The 19,951-nt window shown below is 43.9% G+C and overlaps 1 protein-coding gene across 32 annotated transcripts in view; it reads left to right on the forward strand.

The window, feature by feature from the left end:
- The window catches only part of KALRN (kalirin RhoGEF kinase), a 692,957-nt gene that overhangs the window by 187,885 nt on the left and 485,121 nt on the right, over positions 1 to 19,951 (forward strand). For all 32 annotated transcript variants that reach the window (XM_006713810.4, XM_017007429.2, XM_011513279.3 and 29 more), the window contains exons 2-3: positions 6,737 to 6,811; positions 13,576 to 13,690. In XM_006713810.4, coding sequence (XP_006713873.1) covers positions 6,737 to 6,811; positions 13,576 to 13,690 — 190 coding nt within the window. The remainder of the gene's footprint in view (positions 1 to 6,736; positions 6,812 to 13,575; positions 13,691 to 19,951) is intronic.

Consider the following 19,951-nt stretch of genomic DNA (forward strand, 5'->3'; position numbering starts at 1 on the left):
TTCTGTTATTTACAATCTAATTTGAAGATCATCTTCTCTGTGGAGACTGACCTGATGGATCATCTCAACTTGCCATTCTCTGTCTTCTCTGTGCCTGTGCGTGGTCAGTTTCAGTATTTCTTGACTCTTTTTTGTGACAGGCCCTGTGTGAGGTTCTGGAGTAGAACAAGGAATACTACATGGTCCCTACCCTCAAGGCATCAGGATCAGTTAATGGGGAGTAAACGAAAACACATAAATGCCATTCAGGAGTGATAGATTATAAAGTACAACTGGAGACAGCTCAGCTTGATGGGGAGGCCAGGGAAACAGCACAGAGGAAATGACACATTAGAGAGAGATTTAAGAGGTAGGATCAACAGAACCAAGTAGCCAAATCAATATGTGTGATGGAGGAGGGGGAGGAGTCTAGGGTGCTTCCCAGGTTTCTGTTTGGTTAGCTCCGTGGATGATGGCACCAGTAATTAAGATATAGTGGATACAGGATGGTCAGATTGGGGGAAGGGTGGGAAGGTTTTTATCAGAATCTCAGAGTCTTCACTGGTTTTTTATCCAGTCTGGTAGCTTCCTGGTATTGGGGGAAATGGACACTCGGTATTTTATTAGGCTGGAAACTCAGCAGAAATTGGGTTTCCCCTCCAAGGGAGAGAATTGCCTGAGATGGGCACTGTGTTCTCAGATGCAGAGCTCCCCAGGTGGGCGCACCCCTCCTTTCTGTTTCCTGACCAGCATTTCCCCAGTGTTCAGGGCTTTGTACCTGTGAGTGGGGGTGCAGGTGGGATAAAGAGGCATAAGCAGACTGGCTTCTCTGTCCTTTAGGGCTATCTTAGAGATGGCATCTTGGTGACAGTATTTATGCTACCGAAAGTAGTTAGAGAAGGTAGGGCTCTGAGGGTAGGAAGGAAGATTTGTGGTGAAATTAAAACATCTGATACATGAAGGAATGGTTTAAGCTACCAAAATTCTGAGCAGTTTGGACAGGTGTTATTCATAAACACTCCTGCCACCAAAAAGTAAGATGTGATCCACTCTTAATGCCCTGGAGGGGGAATTTATCTACCTCCCAGATAGCTTTTTTATTCCAAAGCTGAATTTGAATAATAGATGATTATAGGGTAATGGCTGAATCTCTGGAATCTCTGGGCAGTGGAGAGGGGTCTTCCCATGGTAGGGGCCAGAGGGGTGATGAGTAGTGTTAGATGAGATTTTAGGGGTCCTGTTTAGGCCAGGCTACAGCATGCTTTTCTCCATCTTCTGCCTCTGAGGCAACTCTGGAATGGAAAGACATACTTTAGTACACAACTTCCCAAAGTGTAATGTGCGTATGGATCAGCTGGGTTTTTTTGTGTGTGTGGTGGGGGCTGTTGAGACAGGGTCTTTCTCAGTCACCCGGGCTGGAGTGAAGTGGCATGATCACAGCTCACTGCAGCCTCGACCTCCCTGGCTCAATCAATCCTCCCACCTCAGCCTCCCGAGTGGCTGGGACTACAGATGCGTGCCACCATGCCTGGCTAATTTTTGTTGTATTTTTTGTATAGATAGGGTTTTGTCATGTTGCCTATGCTGGTCTCAAACTCCTGGGCTCAAGTTGTCTGCCTGCCTTAGCCTCCCAAAGTGCTGGTATTATAGATGTGACCTACCATGCCTGGCCTCACCTGGGGTTCTTGTTAAAATGTAGGCTCTGACTCTGTAAGTCTAGGGTGGAACTTGAGATTTTGCATTTCCAGCAAGGTTCTAGGTGTATGTGATGCTTATTACCTTGGGTACCAAGGCTTTAGGACTCATCTTTAAGAAGCTCTTTTTTTTTTTTTTAGTCTCCTTGCATTTTGTACAGGTGGTGTCCTGTCTCTGATAACAGTTAATTGTCCTATTTGGAAACCCATCTTTCTCTGCTTGGAAGCCCCCTTGGAGAGCAGGATCCATTTCTTATTTGTCTTACTGTCACTGAAGCCCGACATATGGCCTGGCCCATAGTAAGTGGTCAATATAGAATTAATGAAATAATGACCTTAGGAATAGGAAAATTTCAAAATTACAACCTAACTAGGGTCCAGCCAAATGAGCTCCTGCACCTCTCAATTGTAAGCCAGATCTCTTTTATGCAGCCTCTCAGTGACTCAGTGCCATTTTGAGTAAGGCTTCTATACTGGACACCACACGGGTGAAGTAGAAAGAGAAGGCAGAAACCTGAGCACAGGGAAATGTGCAGAAACAGGGCTCAGGCCCACTTGAAGCAACATTAGAACACTTACATAGTAACTTCTAAATAGGTGCACATTAAAGGGGTGTGACTGAGAACCAAAAGGAAACAAAGAGCAATCCATGGATACTCTGGCAGCTTGAACCTCCAATGCTCTATAAACGCCCACTCTGTTGTTTGTTTCTTCACTTGTTGAAATCAGGAATGCTTTCTGAAGGAGGTTAGTATGGAACACAAGGCACCCAGGTGCCCTGGGGAATATACTGCTACTCTAGACCCACAAAACCACAGACAGGGCTGGGGGGCTCAAGGGCCAGTTTTACCATTGCCGTGTAAGGTCACACAGAGGCTGGAAGCCACAGTGAGGCTGACTGGCATTTTCCAACATGGGAAATGATGACTAGAAGCAATGTAAGCATAACACGTTTGGAGCAAGGAGAAGCAAAAGTGGGGCTTGGAGAAGACCCATGCTGGAGGATCCTGGGGAGATGGCAGGGGTAATTTGTACTTCCTTAATAGATGTGGAGCATTTCAACTTTGCTAATTAACGGAACAGCAGGCTTGTAATTCTGACAGCAGCAGGACACAAATGGGGTGGGATTAGCACTGAATGCCAGTGAAGCATGCCTTTGTCCTTAAGAAGAGGCACAACACCCACCACCCACGTTGGGTCAGGTCCATGAAGGTGCCATCCCTGATTTTGTTTTTTTTTTTTCCTGCAGCAACTCCAAGGGCTTAGGGGTTTTTTTTTTAATGTCTTCTCAGGCCTTCCAGGATTTTTTTTTTTTAGATGGAAACAGGTCTATGATTGGTCTAGAGCAGGAGTGTCTAGTCTTTTGGCTTCCCTGGGCCACATTGAAAGAAAAAGAATTGTCTTGGACCACACAGAAAATACACTAATACTAATGACAGCTGAAGAGCTAAAAAAAAAAAAAATTGCAAAAAAATCTCATAATGTTTTAAGAAAGTTTACAAGTTTGTGTTGGGCTGCATTCAAAGCTGTCCTGGGCTGCATGAGGCCTGTAGACCACAGGTTGCACAAGTGTGATCTAGAGTTTATTTTCTAATAGTTCTACCAAATATACCAGAAATAACAATGGCAATGGAAGCTTGCCTTCTTCAAGAGATTAAGCCTCATTGAAGTTCTTCCATCACTATTCTCCCATTTTGGCATTTTGGGCTACCTGCAAAATGGGGTGATCTGCCCCTGAGTATCTGTAAACTGATTCTGGGGGACAAATGGGCCAGGAAGCCAGTGAAATGTTTTATCTTCCCAAGGTGCAATGAATCTTGTTAGGGAATTTATTCCCAGTACTTCCTTTTAAAGCATATTGATCTGATAACCTGAGGATCTTAAAGGCCAACAAATATGAAGAGAAGGTTTAGAAAGTCTCAGAGTATTAGAGCTGAGTAGTACCCTGGAGGGCATCTACTCAGATTGCCAGTGCTTGGTGTGACAAATGAAGTCACTGACCTTGTATAAGTCATTTTAGGAAGGGTCAACATTTCATTGATTCATTTATTCTTTCATCAAATATTTATTGAACATTTACCGTGAGTCTACCAAGACACGTACCCGATAGTGAAAACATGTTGCTATTTCATTGGTCCTGTTTGAGTTAGCATTCAATGAACTTCTCCTTTATTATATATTCCAACAGCTGGTTTCACAAGGGCCCTGGGGGAATTGATATGATACATAGTATCTTTAGTCAGTGCAAATAGGTTTTATATGCAAGGTCACCAATTTCTGAGCTGCTGGGCTAATTAGCTCTACTTGGCTTTACATAATACATATATTGTTCAAAAGTTATATGTAATTTAATTTTTGGCAAGTGAAAAACTGATTCAAATCACTAGGGGAACTTTATTTGAAGAGACTCTGGAGCAAATCCTTTTATAATGTGAAAATTTTAGTTGTAATTGGAAATGATTGTCCCCTAGTTTGGATTTTGTAAATGTGGACACTTTAGGTTTACTTGTGGACACACAACCAGGCCCAGCAGTGGCCTCTACAGGGTCAGGGAGGACCCTGGCCTGGGAAGTAGAAGCCCTAGGAATCCTAGAACAGCCCAACCCAAGGTATTGACATTTACTGGAGCCCATGACTGCAAGCTGCATGGACAAGCTGCACACCTTCTCTCAGGTCCTGGGCCCTGGTGGGGAGAAGGAAGAGGTGGGGCACAATGAGTGGGTGTGATGGATGAGACTTGGAGCTTCCTCTTCCTCTCCAAGGATGGGAGTAGAGAGGAGATAGGATGGGGAACCCTTTGCTTCCATTATAGCAAATTTGAAACCCTTCCTTAAGATCTTATGGCTATTTAGAACTAGGACCCTCTTGTGTACTGCAACACAGTAGAGGACAAGAGGGACAGCAGTAGAAAAAAATAGGAAAAGAGTTTAGGAGAAAAGAGAGTTATGTGGACTCTTTTTGTATAGTAAATCTCATTAGTTTGGGCCTTGCTATTTTTGAACTTGTAAATAATCTGAAAGAAGACAGGACTGAAATTTAACTTTTATATTACATTTTTTTCTATAGAAATTAGTGGAGTGCATGGTGATATAGAGGAAAGCGTTTTAAAATTAATGTATAGAAAGATATATTTCACAAAGGAAAATCATGTATTTTGATACAGAAGCATCATTGTTCACAAACAAGTCATGTATTAGTTAAAGATCCTTGATCCTTGTCTAACAGATAAAGCCTAATAGATTGCCAAGGAAGCTGAAATGTCTCCTCATTGCATGAGGATGAAAAAAAATACTTTATATATCTATTTGTAAATTCTGTAATAATTTATATTGATCCTAATTAGCCTCTATTAGTGAAATTTAATTGTTTTTCTGTGGAAAAGATAAAATTAGAGCATAAATATCTGTAGAAACAGGATAGAAAGTTCAAAATAGTGCTTATAGGCTTTGAAATTCGAGTATTCTTTTTTATGGTGTTACTTTGTTTTCCTATTGCTCAAGGTCTTCTCAAAGTGAGCCTTGTAGCTGGTTCTCTGTCAGCTAGTAAAGAGAAACGACTGATGAATAAAAAGACTTGCAGTCTTCATTTGGTGAAAAATGAAAGAGAAGAAATAGGCAAAATGGTCAGAGACACTTAGGAAATTTGTTTTAGGTTTAGGGTATGACCTCTGATCATAGAAACTGGCATTGTGAGCACACATCTCTCTTCCTCCTTGGTTGAGTGTGCAGTTGGCCCACTTCACTTCCCTAGGCCAGTGATCTTACGCCTGGCCCAGAATTTTATTGCCAAAATTCCCGGATGGGTTTCTTGAAACAGTCAATGTTTAGAGATTGAAGGATTGAGTGGGATTGTCCTGCCCAGCATGTTGTTTTCCTCTGTCAATTGTCAAATTTGGACCCTAAGGGTGTAAGCCAAGTGGAGAAAGGCACCAGAGGGGGTATCCATGGTATCTGGTTCTGCTCTCTGAGCTGACATACAACCGCTCGCCTTCTGAGGTCTATTTGTGTCATGTCCCTAATGGCGACACATAACAGAGACCCCAGTTATAGCTCGAATCGCTGTAAGTGTGGGTGGCTCTCCCTGAGAGTCCCTGTGGGGTTCTTAGGTTAAATGATAGGGATGCAATGGTCTAGCCTGGGGTTTGTGTATGTGGAAGCTGGGTCCTGACTTCCCACAAATCTCACACTGGGCTGGATTGTCCTTTGCCTCCTGAGGCTACTGTTCCTCCAGGCACATCTTTAGTTTCCATTCTTTGTGAGCCCCAAGATTCTGCCTCCAGCCCCCTAACAGGAACTCAACTAGAACATAGAAAGGACTTTCTAAATGAGAAGCAAGATTTAGAAAGAGAACAAGTTAAACAAGGTAGTGGGTAGTGCATTTCCTTCCCAGGAGATTTGTATCTCCCCATCTCCTGTCTATTGTGGACCAATGATGATGACATTGAGGGGAGGAGGAAGAGGTGGGGAGAGGAGTATTGTCATCAACTTTGCTTCCATCTGTAGGAGTTTTGTGGTTTACTTTCCTTGTTTGTAAAATAAAGACTAATAGTTGTTGTGCCAGAGGAAAGGCAAGAAGGATTCTTTAGGACTTTGTAATCCATCTTGATATCAATTAACTAATTCAACAGATATTTCCTGAGTGCTGAGTATGTTCAAGACACTGTGCTAGGCACTAGAGGTACGAACATGATTTTTTAAAAGTCCCCCGGCTTCAAGTTGCTCAATAGCAACAGGGCTGTTTTTTTTTTTTTTTTTTTTTTTTTTTTTTTTTTTTTTTTTTGCCCCCACTGCATGGAGGTTTCTCCATGTGGGGAGGGTGACTTGGATTGTCCTCTCCTTGAGAAGGACTAGGGGGTTGCAGCCCTGATCACCCCTATGGCTGGCATGATGTGGAAGTATCCCTTCTGTTGCAGACCCTCTCCTGGTCCATCGGGCTGGGCTGTAGGACCTGGACAAGGCAGGACTTGCCGGCTGATGATGGGATTGGGAGACTGAGGATGGGACCTTGCGATTCAGCCAGCTGGCTCCTCTCACCCTGATTCCTTCTGGTTTGTTGTCCCACAGGGTCTTTTCGGAATGATGGTTTGAAAGCTTCTGATGTCCTTCCTATCCTAAAGGAAAAGGTGGCCTTCGTGTCTGGTGAGTATTTGTGGGACTTTCTTTTGTAAAGGACCTAGAGAAGTTGTGTGTGTGCACATGTGTTCAGATTCACTTGTGTGTTAGTAGGGGAGAAGTAGGGGTGGGGAAGTTATGCTTGGGGCAGCTGCTTTCTTTCTCCTGAGGCAGATGGGGAGGGAGAAAGGAGGGCTCTGGCCCCAGCTGAGTGTTCTAAAGGACACCCAGAACCAAAGGGACATTCCCTGAGCTTCCCACCCAACCTCAGCCCCCTGGCCTGGCCCTGTGAGAGTTGCTCCAACTGGAGAATCTGTGCACTTGGCACATTCCTGGAGGTTTTATCTGAGTTCATTTCTGCATGGATCAGGGACGGGAGATTTTTAAAGGAGTTTTTGCTTCCTCCTTATCTTTCTGTCCTGGCAAAGGGAACTCAAGTGAGGGTTCATGTTTAGATGTTTAGTTTTTGTTTTTTTCTGAATAATGACTTCCAAATATTTATATCTGACTTCTCTCTCCCATACATCTTGTGCACAAAGACCTCTTAATGTCTCACTCTGGGGTAAGCAATCTGTAGCTGGTGGGCCATCCACCAGTTTTTATAAATAAAGTTTTATTGGTACACAGCAATGTGTATTTGTTTATGGAGTGTATTAGTTTCCCATTGATGGTGCAACAAATTTCCATGAGCTTAGTGGCTTGCAACAACAGAAAGTCATTATTGCACAGTTCTGGAAGCCAGAAATCCGTTTCATGGGGCTGAAATCTAGGGGTCAGCAGGGCTGTGCTTCCAGAGTTTCTAAGAGAAAATTGGTTCCTTTCCTCTCCCAGCTTCCAATGGCTGCTGACATTCCTTGGCTTGTGGCTGCATCATTTCCATCTCTACCTCCAGGGTCAAATTGCCTTCTCCTCTTGCATCTGTGTCAAATCTTTCTCTGCCTCTCTCTTTTAAGGATACCTGTGACTACATTTAGGGCCCACCTAGATAATCTAGAATAATTGCCCTATCTCAAGATGGTTAACTTAATCATATTTGCAAAGTCTTTGCCATGATATGTTTGTGGGCTATTATTCAACCTACTACAGATTGTGTTGATGGCTGCCTTCTCGCTGTAACAACAGAGTTGAGTAGCTATTGCAGAGACCATTTGGCCCATGAGCCTGAAATATTTACTCTCTGACCCTTTAAGAAAAAGTCCGGTGACCCCTGATATAATTGAAGCCAAAGACTGGCCAGAGCCCCTAAGGCAGTTGTTCTCAAACAATAAGGTATGCCAGAATCACTCTGGGTGCCTGTTGCAGGGCTCCACTCTAGGCCTCCGGGATCAGAATTTCTGGTAGGGTCTGAGGCAGAGGCTGGGATAGACAGTGTTAGTAGCGAAAGATTGTATTTTGAGAAACATGCCACGTGCTTATACCACATGGACCAAACCTTTATTTCTGGGTGATTTTGGTTATCTACAAGGAGTAGCAGTGGAGTCACAGAGCAAGAGCTAGTCCAGTCCTGTAGAGCAGAGGTTCATGCCACAGGCACTGTTGGTCTGGCTGTTGGGCGACAGCCAAAATAGAGAGAAGAGGAGGCGGGAAGAGGATAAAGGAAAGGGGAAGTTAAGCAGCAGTTGTCTCCCACCTCATCGGAGAAAAGGCGAGAGCCTGATGATTCAGAGTGTAGGTGTGGGAGGTGAGGGCAGGCATGCAATGGGAGTGTGCAGAAGACTTTGTAATGACTAAATGCATTCTATATTATTGTAATTATTGTTAGCAGTAGTAGCAATAGTAATTTATTATTGCCATTGCTGTTAGATGAGAGTGACCTGGCAGCTGCCTCTTCCCATTAGGGGCTAGTATATCTTATAAGGTAATGAGCCCCCTGCCACTGAAGATGTTGAACAGGCAGAACAACTCCTTGGCAGGATTACGCAGCAGTGATTTGGGTATGGGGAGAGGCATAGGTAACACAACCTTTAAAACCTTTAGAAACTTGGATTCTGATTTCTTGCTAAGCATATGGGAAGACCTTGTGCAGAAATCCTAGAGGCCACTGAGCAGTGCCAGGCCTCTGATTTCTGCTGATCCCCGTAGCCTGGGCTCCCAAGGATGTGGCCCACAGCCCTCTGGGAGCCCAATCTTATCTTTTCTTCCTTCTTTTTATGGTCCTTAGTTAACCTGATGTTCTTCCTGTCCCCTGGATATCCTGCCAATACTCCCATTTCTCTTGTGCCTGACACTTCTTTCCCTCTGCAGTGCCTTCTCCATAACTTCTGCCAAGTTGAGCCTTTCCTCTCCTTCCAGAGTCAGTTTCTACTTTACCTCCTCCAGGAGACCTTCCTGGATCTAATGTATTCCTCTGAGAATCATCCTATTCCACATCAGTTTGGGGCATATGCATGCACAATACACTCTGACATGGAGACCCTTGCTTGATGTTCATGGTTTATTTTTTCCCATGTAAATTCAGTCAGAGCCCTGGGCAGAGCCTCAGAAAAAAACCTTCTCAAGTGGTAGGGGCTTGTCCTAATGGAGCTCATAGAAGCAACGTGGCCAGGAAGGCAGTCAGGAATGAGGCAGGTAGAAAATTCCCTGAGTAGGACGAAGGGGGCTGGGAGCATAGCTCTCCCCCATTTGCCAGCGTAAGCCGAACAGCCTGGGGTAAGCCTTATTCAACTGCACCTGCGCTTGTGGTGCCAGAAACTTCTGGGCTTAGGGAACATTGCCCTTCCGTGTCTGGGAAGGACACTGAATAAACTGGGAAGATAATGACTGGCTGCATTAAAAAAGCAAAAAACAAAAACAAAACAAAACAAAAAAACCCCCAAAACCAAAAAAAAAAAAAACAAAAAAAAAACACCAAACCAACCAACTCTTACATCCTGAGCTTTTAAAAGATAAAATGCAAAAATAAAACAAAATGAAGAAACCTATAATTAAATAATGCAGTTTAACAGTTGGATTTCTTTCTGAGAAGAAGAAAGCGCTGCAAGGAAGGTGGTGAGCAGAGAAACAGGCTGTTTGTTAATTGAGCCTGCCCTCCTCTGCTAGCGCCCAGCCTTGGCCAGGCAAAAGGAAAGCCATGCTGCCATGGGAACGTACATTGGGAATAATCCAGGGCAGCCCAGAAGCTTCTGCATGTGGGCGTGTGCATGTCTGTGAGACAGGATTTGGGGCTGTCCCTCAGTGAGCCTCCGTTGTTATCCAGCACTGCCCCATTCTGCTCTGTCATTCACAGCTCACGAGCTCCCCTTGGCCTCTCTGATGTCCTTTGTACTACTTAGAAGTCACAGCACCCATTGTCCCTTTTATCCAGCCTTCTCATGTGGGGTCCATTTCATCCTATTGTCTTTATGTGCATACACGCCTTCCTTTTGGCCACCTCCTCATGATTCCTCTCTGCCTCCCTATCTCCCACCAATGTGGTTTTCCTTATTGGTTTCCACCGTTCCCAGGGAACCTTATGTTGCTGTGGCACAATCTTTCGTACCCTGGACCTGCATCTCTCAAAGTGTTTTCCAAGATCAGTTCCACAGGATGATCCTCTACAAAGAAAACGGGGTTCTACTCTCAAAGAAGTTTGGGAAATGCTGGACATTCTAGCTCTCCTTCTTGGAGAATTACAATATCCATTAAAATACATTAACATTTTAAGGCTCTGGGAAGTCCTGCAGTAAAGAACTTTATTTTTTTTTTTTAATCTGGCATTTTCCAAACTAAAGAATAACCTCATTCCCTAAAAATTTATGTGTCTGTGATGCATATCCATTAACATCTTGCAGATCTATTGTTACATTGACTTTATCATGGGGTCCTTATTATTCATCTCTGCTTATTGTCCTCTGTAATTTCAGCATCTATGTCAATTATTGATCAAATCCTATAGCTTCATTGCTACTCAGCCTCCTTGGTACGAAAGTCCTCCACCTACCTACCATGATTATGCACGTCCAAGATCTTGACCCTTGATGTGTCTATCTGTGGTTTTAGTCCCTTACTTTGACCTTTCTGATATCCTCTTGTCATTTGGGAGAGGATGGATATGAGAGGAATAAAATCAACACCTTTCCCTCTTTTCTGGGATCTCATCATCCAATAGAACATCTCCCACCCTCCCTGGGCATACCCCATTTATATGGTGCATTAGCTCCACTCTGCCTTCACTCAGCTTGGAGCCTGGCACAGATACTGTGGCCAAAGCTTTCAACAGAGCTTTCGCTGTGCCCTAGTATCCTGTCAGCAACCCTGAAGCTCATGTCCTACCCAGTCCTACTGTCATTCTCGAGAGAAGTTCTCCAGTGATGGTTTCATTTCCCTCTCCTCAGTACCCTAAGCCTACCCTGACCCTGGACTGCCTCTTGTCTACTGTTCCACCCAAAGAACCATGTCCCTCAGGCAGGCTGAACTCTTCCCTCTCCACCACGTATCTCCATTTCCTCCTCTCTCTTGGAGTTCAACAGCCTGCCTCAGAGAGGGGGGCAGCCCCATCTGCTGTGGGCTGGGCCCCCGCCTTATGCCTTCCCTGAGACCTTGCTCCGTTGTTGTCCCTACCCTTCCCAGCATAAAGATTCTCTTCCTCTAGGCTCATTCCTCTCCTTTTTTCTATAATCTTCAAAGGTCTCTTCCTTTCTGAATACCACATGGCTTGATCCTGCTGCCTCCTCTTGACTCCTTATCTACACTTCTGGATGTGGGGAATTAGAATTCTCCAGGCTTTCTCTTCTAACTCCTCCTTCCCTTCCATCTGAACCTTCCAAACTTCCTATTCACTATTTATTATATGATTTGAAAGCTCATTCATTAATGGACACTATGCTTAGGAAGTGGAACCAAGTTTCTCAGGAGTGTCAGACAGGGAAAAAAAAAAGCAGAAACTTGATTCTGTTTCCTGAGCATAGTGTCCATTAGTGAATGCACTTTAAAATCATATAATAAATGGTGAATAGGAAGTTTGGAAAGTAGAGGAAAGAAAAAGTGACTATCTTCCAGCCATCTAAAAAGCTCCCCGGCCGTGATCCTGAATCTCATGTCTCCAAGGCCAGCCCTGGTTCTAGCTTGGGAGGGGCAGTGTCAGCCAGCCCTCCAAGCCACCCTTTGCCAGTTGGAGCTGTGGTTCCTTGTGGTTCCAAGACTCTACTTGTATAATGTCCAAGGAAGGTCAGGAAAAAAACAACAGCTATGGTAAAACAAGCAAACAAACTGCCAGAGTGACAATGCTTGGGGTGAGGTCAAGGATAGAGGGGAAGGTTGAGAGTGTTGGAGGACCTCCCAGCTTTTGGGAAACCTTCCATTTAATTTTCTCGCTTCCTTTTCCTCATGTGGAAGGCAATGGAGAGATGGGGACCATTTCCAAGGCAGATGAGACAAGGGTGGTTATCACGTCAAAGAACCAGGGCTAGTGGTATGAAAGGTCCAACTCTGAGTTAATCTGTATGAATCTGCCCTGAGTGGGGGCGCTGGGCAGTGGTGGTGGTGCTGAAACACTTTTTCATCAGGGCTGAATCTCACAGTGGCCTGATCTTATGTAATCCTTTTCTCTCTGCAGCCTCCTTACTTCCTCCTCAAGGGTATTCTGGATTGATTTTTTTGTCAAGCCTCCCCTCTATCTGTGTGGCTTCTGGACCCCTTAACCAGAAGGAAACCTTATTCATGAACTCACACTTGGGCGGGATCCCTGGGAGACTCTGCCCTCTGTGTAAGAGATCCTTGTTTTCCAGTATTGGTGAGGTTCGCACCTCTCCACTCTCTTTCATTAGATCCCTTTGTGGTCCTACTCTGGGGTATATCCAGTGGCCACCTGAGATGTGGCGTGAAGAGTCTGTGATCATGACATAGTGGTTTTCTTTGTGTAATGGCCAGTGCCCTGTAAGGTCATAGTTACCCTTAACTTTTTTCCTGTTTAACGCCCCTGAGAAACTTGGTTCCACTTCCTAAGCATAGTGTCCATTAATGAATACATTTTAAAATCATGTAATAAATAGTGAATAGGGTATTTGGAAAGTAGAGGAAAGAAAAAGCAACGATCCAAAATCCTGGCCTTCTAATAGCAACAGAAATTGTCATTTTGGTATACTCCTTCCAGTTATTTTAAATGTGATGTTTAGAAAACACTTGTAATCTCAGTATGTATGTATGCATTTGCAGTGATTAAGACCTTGAGCATTCTGATTTCTGATAAGATTCATGTGCTCCTCTAGCAGGAGTGACAGGTGGCACCTCAGGCAGACAGGCAGGGGTGGTTTTTTGGCTGTGTAAAAAATACTTAATGTTTTTTCTATGAATCTGAAAACTTCCCAGTAATGCTATCCTGGGATGGATGCTTTGAGGTCTTCTCACCATAGTAGTCAGCTCATCACAAGCACTCCCACCTCACAGAGGTCTATAAAGAGAAGTAAATTAGAGGTTAAATTTCCAAAGAACATAGCACTTTCCACCAGCTTGTTTTCTCAATAAGAACAGTTATCACCATTTTCATTATCATCTCACATTTGTAGAGAGCTTTACTTTTCCAAGTGCATCCCCATGTGCCAACTCATCAGTTCTTGCAACAGCCCTGTAATGTGCACAGTACTGTTTTCATCTGCCTTCTACAGATGAGGCACCAGAGAAGCCAAAAGACTTGCCCACGGTCATATGTGCTACCTGCATCTAGACCCCCCCACCTTGTCCTAAGCAGTGACCAGATTTCTCTGGATACCCTATTTCTGTCTGATCACCCAGCACTCAGACAGATTTCTTTTTCCTCTGTGGCTTTCCTTTCTGACTGGTTTTCTTAAACACTCTTCTCTTCCTCCTTCTTGCAGGGGGTCGTGATAAGCGAGGCGGACCCATCCTGACCTTCCCTGCTCGCAGCAATCATGACAGAATAAGACAGGAAGACCTGCGGAAACTCGTGACGTATTTGGCCAGCGTGCCAAGGTAAGGGGAAGGGGAATGGCCTGCAGGGGAGCGGGAGGGGAGCTGGGCTGATGCCAGTTTTGGAAGGAGCCTCCATCCCTGCCAGGGACCCTAGTGGTTTCTGCTCTTCCAGTGGATTCTAACCATTCCTGGAACACCATTGTCCATTGTCTGCCTCATTCCCATTGTTACTGCTGAGATTCATGTGAATGGGGTGGGAGCTGGAAGTGGCAACTCCGGACACTCAACTCTGTATCACTCAGCTACAGGAAACACTCTATGACACTGATTTAGGTCATGCATTTTCAGTGGGAGTGATATTGCCCCCAAAGAGAGTGAAAATTGGTTCTTGGGGATAGCAAAAGATTTTTTTTTCCATGTATTAAACACAGGTATACATACTCTACCAAGGTACAGTATATGTGTGGTATTAAATTTTCACTGGGTAGGGTGATTAGGGAAAAAAGATCTAAAAAGGCTCCTTCGGGGCCTAGGATGATAATTTTAAAAAGTGTGAGAAACACTGGTCTAGGTAGCACTGGCCACAAGGTGGGTGTGGGAGACACGCCAAGGACATAGTTGAGACGGAAGAGAAGAGAGCTTCACTTGATCAGAGAACCACAAGATGTGAGAGTTGGGAGAGCCCTGAGGAGCAATCTAGGCAGATACATGTCATGTCCTGCTTAGGGAAAGGGGCTGACAGGGGATGTGTGTGGTTCACAAGGGTCAGTGGCAGAGCTTGGTCTAGAACTCAACCCTCCTGAGTCCAGCCCCGGTGCTCTCTCACCATCTTTGTTCTTGAGCAGCGACGGCACTGCTCTCTGTCTCTTAGTGGGGCCAAAGCCTGTGAAATGTTTGTTGTGGCAAATAAGAAATGGTTCTTTGGGCTTTCAAAACCTTCGTCTTGTCTCTGTGCATTTTATAGAAGAATTAGTGAATTACAGGGAGGAGCTATATATCCAGCTTTGCCTTTGCTGGAAGACCTGGGATAATTTTTGAATGTGCTGATTAAGTTCTTGAAGCAGGTGTTGAGTGAGGCAAGTACTGCATTTCAGAGAGCTAAAGAAGAGATGAATGTAAAGGAGTGGTTGGGAGGTGATGGGCAGGTAGTAAAGGGGATTTTAAGAGCAGTCATCACATGCTTGGAAGGATGTTGAATGGAATTGTGAGCCCTGAAGAACTTCGGGCAGAAGACTGAACAAGTAGATGCTGAATAGTGTCTGTTTTTTTTTTTCTTTATGATATCCACTGGGAACAGAAAAAACATAAAAGGTCTTAAGCTTCAGTAAAAGGGATTTGGGTTATATCTGAAGAAGAACTTATAAACTTTGAGTGCATGAAACAATGAATATAAGGATGAAAGATTTTTTTTCTGGGGGTCATTATAAAGAAGAAATACTCTTATCTGTCTCAGAGGCAAGGAGGTAGACTAAATAACTCGTGATTGATATAGGTAATTTAGCAATTTAGCCATCTAGGAGCTAAGCAGTTTTTTAAAGCACTTTTCCTAAGTAAGTGACTAACAGGCATAAAACCAGGAATTTTCTGAAGCAATTTACAATAGAAGTTTTCATAGGGAGCTGTGATGAACTCTCAGTTCTCTTAAAGACAGAAGAAATTGGGATCCCGGAAGACACAAAGGGTAAATTTTTCTTTCCTGCGTGTTCATCACATAGCTGCAGCTAATTGATGCTCATCTTTTCTTTAGAATAAAGAGGGAAAGAGTTGGAAGAATACTTTTCTTCATTCTGACTTGTTAAGCAAAGAGTGGGACAAAACAGACGGGAAGCAATTTAAAAAGAAAAGATTTCCGCTGGGGTGAAGGGGAACAAAACCCAAGAGGGGCTGAGAGGAAGGTCATGAAAAAGGTGGAATAATACATTATCACTGAAGGAACACACAAGATGCAGGCTCTCTGCTTCTCAGGGGGTGGTCACATCAGTGCAATCTGCACTCCTGAGAACTGGAAGGCTCTTCACAGGGCAGGCGAGAGCCCTATTGCCAGTGGGAAGAACTGTTCTGTGATGCCTGCTGCCCTGCCTCCTGAGGGACCTGCATTCATGAAGAGTGTAAGTGCCTGGCAGGCCGCAGAGTTCACCTAGTCATGCCCACCAGTCACTTCCTAATTCTCTTGGCTACATGTCACACATAATGGCTGTTGGATGGAACAGGATTGTTCTAAAGACAGTGAAGTTTGGGGTAGGAAAACTGAATAACTTAGCAGGTCAGATTATATTTGCCACTTTCTTCTTTGTAGCCATGGCTTTGGAAGAGAAAGGGAACAATGAAAATTAACTGTTAGACTCAGTAGATGATACTGATGAGAAGAAATTGTTTATCTGGGTCAGATCCAGGATGCTAAAAAGACAGGCTCTGGTTGTTGGAGGTGGATTGTTACAGGCTGGTGTGATCAAGCCTGTAGGTGACATTTGATCATTTGATGCTTTTTTTTTTTTTTGAGACTGAGTCTCACTCTATCACCCAGGCTGGAGTGCAGTGGCACAATCTCGGTTCACTGTAACCTCTGCTTCCCAGGTTCAAGTGATTCTTGTGCCTTGGCCTGCCAAGTAGCCGGGATTACAGGCACCTGCCACCACAACTGGCTAATTTTTGTATTTTTATTAGAGATGGGGTTTCACTGTGTTGGCCAGGCTGGTCTCGAACTCCTGACCTCAAGTGATACACCCACCTCAGCCTCCCAAAGTGCTGGGATTACAGGCATGAGCCACCTCTCCTGACCAACATTTGCTACCTATTTATTCATGCATTTATTCATTATGTAGTCAACAAGTATTTAGAGCTTCTCTATGCCAGGTAGATTGAGGATTTGTGGTGAACAGGAACACACATTTTGAGAAATTTAGGGGAAACCTGGGTATTTTCCTACCCAGTGCCAAACCAGTAATAGTAAAAGGCAGCCCAAGATGGGAGTGCATTGTAGCGTAGGAGATGAACCAGCCAGCAGAAGACAAACAAATAAGGATAAGTGAGTGGTGAATGAGGATCCTAGAATTTAAGGAACCAGCAAACTTAATGGCCATTTGGGGGACCATTTTAGAATAGATGATTAAACAGATAGTGTTGATAATTTAGAAATGAATAGGAAGAAATAGTCCCACTCTCCTCTCTGTAGGCCAGGCCATATCTGGACCACTGCATTCAACTCTGTAACATTCATCTGGCCAGCTTCATTTTAAGAACTACATAGATCAGTTAGAGTGCTGTCAAGGAAGCAGCACATTAAGGCACCCACAATCCATGTCTCCACAGTTGAAGGAATGAGGGATGTTTGCTGGCAGGCATGAAGATGAAGAAAAAAAAACAACAAAAAACGCAATTCCTGACTTCAGGAGAGCTGCCCCAGAAATGAGGGAACAGGCATGGCCTCTGTTGCATTAACGGGTGGACGTTAGAATCAGGAGAAAGAACCTGCCCACATGGAAGCTGTCTAGCAACACTGCTGCTGCCTCTGGAGAAAGTGAACTTCCTGTCACTGGAGACCAGATGACCCTCTGTTAGGGATGCTGTAGAAAAAGTTCCTCTACTGGGTTGAAGGTGGGCTTAGATAACTTCTAAGAATCTTTCCTGCCCCGAATTCTAGGTTTCTGTGATATTGGAAAAAACAATGCATCATAAAATCCAGGGCCTCAGAACAGAGTATTACCACCCCCACCAATATGCATCTAAGTGCTCTCTTCTCAGACTTCCTAAGTAAGTTAAGGTCTGGGATTTCACTTAAGATTTTGTCTATACCTTAAATCCTAAGAGAACTTCTTTTTAGTCCCCTTCGACTCCAGGTGGAAATTTTGGGGCATTACCCAGGACCAAGGATCCTGTTGGGGTGTAACAGCTTGGATCAGTCCTGACTTATTCGTTCAGCGTCCATCTTGGCCTGAGATGAGTCCCGTCATTTTAACTTCTCTGTCTTGCTCCTGATGAGTTTGGGCATCTATCTCCTAGGTCACTCAGGTTTTCCATCATCTTATTCTGAGGAGTCATAGGTAACAGGGTGGGAAGAAACCTTAAACGTCTTCTAATTCAACTTTTCAATAACTCCATCCACTCAGTTCAACAAATATTTACTGAGTGTCTACTATGAGACAAGTTCTGGATAGGAATCTTGGTGAGGCCTCATGTTATCTTTACTGTCATCCACCTACACTTATCTAACATTTTTTTGTCCTGGTCTGCTGTCTGCTTACAGTTACTTGTACGTGAAAGGAGTGGAAAGAAAATACTCAGATGTGATCAGCTGATGAATGTCCCTAGAAATTGAAAGACAGGATAGAAAATCCAGCCTGAGAGTAAACAACTGTCCAGGCCTAGCCCACAGTGTGGATAATCTACCCACTGTGATTATTGGGAGTTGACGAAATGCTTGAAATAGGAATTTCTAAGCACTACATCTAGTAAGGAAATCCTGGGTTACTTTTATTGCATTGAATTCCTCTTCATCATCACTGTTAGCCTGCTTTGTCACGACCTTCTTTCTGTGACTCCTAAGGGCACCAGTTGATGTATCTGACACTTAATCTGCTCTTAGCAGTTCCACTGAGATACTGAGTGTTCTGCCAAGGAATGTGGTTATCATATTGGTGAGGAAAGATAACAAGAAATTAGGATGAGTTATTCTGTAATGTCAATCAAATCAAGGTGCCTTTACTTGTGGCCTATTATTTGATAACATTTGCTCTTGTTCTACGGATTTCAGCAAAACATAAGTTGGGCTTATGGCCTGCACTGTCTTTGTGCAGCATTACCAGAAAATAGGTGTAAGCAGAGAGAACCAGGAAGACAGCTGAAAGAAGAGGGGTAAAAACTGCAAGGGTTTCCTGCCTCTATTTTCTGCGTGAGAGAGCCTGAGCTATCCAAACTACTGCCATGAAACATGTTCTGTTGTAAGGGCCTGTTGAGATGTGTTGTTGATACCTTACTCTTTGCTCTGGGATCATCAATAAAAGGAGGATGTGGGGAGGAAGGGGAGGGATCAGGTGATGGAAAGGCCAGATAATAGGACCAATGAGAACATTTAGGTCACATTGTTTACATTTCCCTAAAACATACCTTTTAAAGATCATTGTTGATTTCTTTATCCATTTTGAATTTAAACCCTATGTATAAATAGCTTATAATTTCTATGTATAAACAAGATACTTTTTACACACATTTCCAGCAATACCAGTTAGGTGTCCCTATTGTTGGCTATATGTAACCCCAGCCCTGAAGAGCAAATAGCATTCTACCATGCTGCTAGGAAACATAAAGCCACAGTAGTAACTGCAATCGTTAGTAATCACCTTCCTTAGAGTCATATCAGCTTTTGCAGCAAAGGATGAAGAGGCATCTTAGTCTAGATGGAAGATGCTGAGCTTCGGATCCCAGCTCTACCTTTCTGCAGCTGGGAAACATATGGCCCCTCAACCTGGGTAATTTGGGAAGACTTTAACCAAGACACAGTTTATAAGGCTGTGGGCAGAGAACAGAGAAACCAGCAAGGTTTGGATCCCTCAGGCATTGCAGGCCTGGAAACAGCACGGAGGGGAAACATTACCACTTCTAAGAGAGAGGAGAGCTTTGTGAGAGGCTGCCTGACAGGAACTGTGGCCTTCAGTGGAAGATGCCACCAACACATGGTGACTCCATGACAGGGAGCAGGGGAATTGGTACCTTGACCCCACTCTCTTCCCATTCTCTCATCTCCTGTCATCATTGACTGAATGTACCGAGAAGCCAGATGACAGGGGAGCCCATTGATGTAGTCCATGTAGGTCAACTCCCCAGGGCACTGGGTAGTGGAGAGAAGATACAGAATGGATTCAAGGTGCAAATGGAAGATATTTGGCACAGAGGGAGACTTTGGGCATGCTAGTCACCATTTCTAAGTTTAATATTCTAATTTTTATTTTGGGAAAATAATGTCTATCTCATAAGGGTATTGTGAGGAATTATCTAGCAGGCTCTCTCTAGCACCCAGGTGCTCGTAATTGTTAGTCTTTCCCCTAAAGGAGGTCAGTAATAGTAATAATGATAATAATAGCAACAAAAAATATATATGAACATACATAGATAGCAATATTTGCTACATATGAGGGACTAGATGCAGTGTATGTAAAGGTTATGAAGCACAATAATAAAGCGAGCACTTGAGAGCCTACCCTCCAATTTGACAAGCAGAACATCACCTCTATCCTCAATGCTACCTAGGGCTCCTCCCCATTCTGACTCTCCTACTTCCCCCAAAAATAACACTGTCCTGGGTTTTATGTTTATCCTTCTTTTGCT

This window comes from Homo sapiens, chromosome 3 (genome assembly GCF_000001405.40).
Source record: "Homo sapiens chromosome 3, GRCh38.p14 Primary Assembly".
Lineage (NCBI taxonomy): Eukaryota > Metazoa > Chordata > Mammalia > Primates > Hominidae > Homo > Homo sapiens.